This window comes from Homo sapiens, chromosome 6, assembly GCF_000001405.40.
Source record: "Homo sapiens chromosome 6, GRCh38.p14 Primary Assembly".
NCBI classification, from domain to species: domain Eukaryota; kingdom Metazoa; phylum Chordata; class Mammalia; order Primates; family Hominidae; genus Homo; species Homo sapiens.
The window spans coordinates 15204763-15209300 of record NC_000006.12 but is presented as its reverse complement, the minus strand read 5'-3'; the positions used below and the strand labels follow the sequence as shown (position 1 = coordinate 15209300).

The 4538-nt window shown below is 44.8% G+C and overlaps 1 annotated feature.

The window, feature by feature from the left end:
- Nucleotides 1896-2448: an enhancer, noted in NCBI's record as "NANOG-H3K27ac-H3K4me1 hESC enhancer chr6:15207084-15207636 (GRCh37/hg19 assembly coordinates)". NCBI's record gives its function as "activates a minimal SCP1, AML or CMV promoter by ChIP-STARR-seq in naive H9 embryonic stem cells {active_cell/tissue: H9 hESC(naive)}" and the evidence as "EXISTENCE:reporter gene assay evidence [ECO:0000049][PMID:30033119]".

Below are 4538 nucleotides of genomic sequence, written 5' to 3'. Positions count from 1 at the left end.
GGCTCACGCCTGTAATCCCAGCACTTTGGGAGGCCGAGGTGGGCGGATCACCTGACGTTGGGAGTTCGAGACCAACCTGACCGACATGGAGAAACCCTGTCTCCACTAAAAATACAAAAAATTAGCTGGGTGTGGTGGTGCATGCCTGTAATCCCAGCTACTCGGGAGGCTGACCAGGAGAATCACTAGAACCCAGGAGGCAGAGGTTGCGGTGAGCCGGGATCACGCCATTGCACTCCAGCTTGGGCAACTATATATATATATACACATACATATATATCATGGCTAAAATAAAGTGCTTGAGGGTGAGGCTAGGAGGGAGATGGAGGATTTGCCTCGGGAAGGTTTAAGATGAAAGGAATAGTTTAGGAATTAGATAACAGCCATTGTTATTCTGAAAGAAATCTGGATGCTCTGCCTGTGGGCAAAAAGGAGATAACCCACTAAAGAAGCCAAAGGGGAAGAAAGAGAAAAGAGAGATCAGGGATTTTCTCTCTTTTGGATAGTTTATTTTGTTTTGTTTATCATTACCCTTGCTAGTCTTGGAGTCTTTCCCTTTCTATGGGTTTTCATTGTCAGGATATTTAGGAAAGATGTTTAAGAACTTCCTCATTCCAACCCCAACTCTTTGAATTTTTCCTTCAAATGCAAATAAAAGCACTTACCATTTGGATATACTGTAATTAAAAAGAGGAAAGGGCAGTTTCTTGAACCTAAAACAACTTCTTTTTTTTCTGTGTGTGGGCTCAGAGTCATTTAAAGGCTAAAAGAAGATCTGTTGAGAGCTGGATGGGTAATGGAAGGTACTGATGATGGTGGTGGAGGGGATCCTGAATTCAGTCATAGAAAATAGCTGAAGCTGGATCAAATAATAAGACATCAAATCCCACTCGATTAGACATTAGGCAACTGTTTATGGTAAAATGTTAAGTACTTAATATTTTATTTCCAAGGCAGGTCATCTTGCATCTTACCCCAAAGCTATTTGTTCTTAGAACAAATGTGCATATGCTTATTAGGTTTAACAATCCACTGCTCACAGTTAGTAAAGGGGTCAGGCTAAGCCTGACTCCCTTGAATGAATAAGACTCATTTGCACTTGTGATGACAAAAACCTTAGTTCTCAAACCAAAAGGAGGAATGAGGGCCAGAGGGATAATAAGTGAAAAGGCTGACTCAGTCCTCTTTTTTTTCTTTTCTCTTTTTTTTTTTTTTTTTGAGACTGGGTCTTGTTCTGTAGCCCAGGCTGGAGTGCAGTGGTGAGGTCATAGCTCACTGCAGCCTCAATCTCTCTGGCTCTAGTGATCCTCCCGCTTCAGCCTCTTGGGTAGGTGGAACTGTTGCTGGACGCCAAGAGTGGGTTCTTGGATCTCACGCAAGAAAGAACTCAGGGGAGCCCATAGAGGAAAGTGAAAGCAAGTTTATTAAGAAAGTAGAGGAATAAAAGAGTAGCCCCTCTGTAGACAGAGCAGCCCTGAGGGTTGACCATTTTTATGGTTATTTCTTGATTATATGCTAAACAACAGGTGGATTATTCTTGCTTTATTTATTTATTTATTTATTTATTTTTTCTTGAGAGGAAGTCTCGCTCTGTTGCCCAGACTGGAGTGCAGTGGCATGATCTCTGCTCACTGCAAGCTCTGCCTCCCGGGTTCACGCCATTCTCCTGCCTCAGCCTCCAGAGTAGCTGGGACTACAGGCGCCCACCACCACACTCGGCTAATTTTTTTTTTGTATTTTTAGTAGAGACGGGGTTTCACCATGTTAGCCAGAATGGTCTTGATCTCCTGACTTCGTGATCCACCCGCCTCAGCATCCCAAAGTGCTGGGATTACAGGCGTGAGCCACCGCTCCCGGCCGCCTCCCCTGTTTGGATCATATAGGGTAACTTCCTGACATTTTCCATGGCATTTGTAGACTGTCATGGCGATGATGGGAGTGTAGCAGTGGGGACGACCAGAGGTCACTCTCGTGGCCATCTCGGTTTTAGTGGGTTCTAGGAGGCTTCTTTACTGCAAACTATTTTATCAGCAAAGTTTTTATGACCTGTATCCTGTGTCGACCTCCTACCTCATGTTGTAATAAAGAATGCTTTGACCTCCTAGGAATGCAGCCCAGCAGGTCTCAGCCTTATTTTACCTAGCCCCTACTCAAGATGGAGTTGCTCTGGTTCAAATGCCTCTGACAGAACTAAAGGCATGCACCACCATGCCCCATTAATTTTTGTGTATTTCATAGAGATGGGGTCTTACTATTTTGCCCAGGCTGGTCTTGAACTCCTGGCCTCAAGCAATCCTACTGCCTTGGCCTCCCAAAGTGCTGGGAATACAGGCAGGAGCCACCGCACCTGACCTAATCCTTTTTTTTTTTTTTTTTTCTCATGTGTTTTATTTTCCTGCAGTTCTGTGAGTGTGAAATATTTCCCCTCATGTTTAGGAGTAATCCAGACAGTTCCAGAAGCTGGCCTACCTTCTTTACCCACCTCTCTATAGATGTGGCTTTTGTTGATTATCTGAGTGGATAAACTTCCAGAAAGTGAAATAACTTAGTGGAAAATTAGTGGACTTTTAGCAATTCTGCTGACTTTCATTTGCTCAGAGGGAATTTGATTCATTTTCCTAAATCAGTACTAACTTTGAATTCTTTCTCTTTTTTCTCTTAGGAATAAAAAAGTTGGTTTTTGTGGGCCAAGAGCTGAATCACTGGTTTAGTAGGAGTTGCACGAGGCAGTTGACTAACTGGGCCTCATTTCCTCTGCTCTTCCAACCACATTGTGAGGGCTCTTCTGTGGGGGTACCAGGTGGAAATTCTGGGGTGAAGGATGTGTTCAAGCTGATGAAATGCTTCGTCATTGCTGTCATCATTCGCTAGGCTGAAGACACATCCGAAGGCATGACTGTAATTCCTCATCCTCTGGCTATTATTAATTATGATTCATTTCATGAAAGAGGGAATAAAAGCCTCTGCAGATCCAAAGCACATCTAAACTGGAAGGATTTCTGATTTGAGCATGTGAGGACTTTCCCTTATACGAGGGGAAATAAATATGTTCTCTCAGGGGATGGCGTGAACCCGGGAGGCAGAGCTTGCAGTGAGCCGGGATGGCGCCACTGCGCTCCAGCCTGGGCGACAGAACGAGACTCCGTATCAGAAAAAAAAAAAAAAAAAAAAGTTATGTTCTCTCAGGGGAAAGAGATCTGGCTTCAGCTAAGGAGAGATAGCCAGGTTGGCCTACTACATGGAGAAGGTCTTATTCATAATAATCAAAAAAATAAATCCACTCGCCATGCACGCTGTTTCATAGCTGTAATCCCAGCACTTTGTGAGGCTGAGGCAGGCGGATCACCTGAGGTCAGGAGTTCAAGACCAGCCTGACCAACATGGCGAAATGTCATCTCTACTAAAAATACAAAAATCAGACGGGTGTGGTCATGGGCACCTGTAATTCCAACTACTCGAGAGGCTGAGGCAAGAGAATTGCTTGAACCTGGGAGGCGGAGGTTGCAGTGAGCTGAGATTGTGCCATTGCACTCCAGCCTGGGAGACAGAGCAAGACGCCGGCTCAAAAATAAATAAATAAATAAATCCACTCTTTTCTGACTCTCTATTGACAATCTGGATTGATTTAATAGTCTACAGTGAAAATGAAGACAAATCTACCCTAACCTATCCTGCAATTATTTGGTGATTATTCACCCTTGCTAATGGATAACTTTCAGGACTGCATAGCTGGGAGGAGTCTTACAGGACAAGTCACCCATCTCCTCAGTTAAAAGAGAAGGGGCAGGCCGGGAGCGATGGCTCACACCTGTAATCCCAGAACACTGGGAAGCCAAGGGGGGTGGATCACTTGAGGTCAGGAGTTTGTGACCAGCCTGACCAACATGGTGAAACCCCATTTCTACTAAAAATACAAATAAATTATCCAAACATGGTGGTGTGCGTCTGTAATCCGAGCTACTCAGGAGGGTGAGGCAGGAGAATCGCTTAAGCCCAGGAGGTGGAGGTTGCACTCAGCCGAGATGGCGCCACCGCACTCCAGCCTGGGTGACAGAGTGAAACTCCTCCATCTCAAAAAAAAAAAAAAAAAAAAAGAGAAGAGACAAAAACAAGGCTGTAAGGTTTACAGGGGACTGCTCAAGGACACTGCTACTTGCCTACTTGACCTCAAAATTGAGGCTAGAGCTCAGACCTTTTAGCTCTTAACCTTGTGTTCTTTTTACTGCAAGAGGCCATGAGCTGGGTGTGGGCTCTGGAGAGTTCAAGCAACACCCTGGAGCTCAGTAAAGAGGTGTGCAACCTGGCACATGGTTAAGATGTTACATGAGGGCAGCCTTTTGGGAATCAGATGACCTGGGTTCAAATGCGGATTTTGCCATTTCTCTTTTTTTTTTTTTGAGACGAAGTTTTGTTCTTGTCACCTATGTCAAAGTGCAATGGCATGATCTCAGATCACTGCAACCCCCGCCTCCTGGGTTCAAGTGATTCTCCGGCCTCAGCCTCCCTAGTAGCTGGGATTACAGGCATGCACCACCACA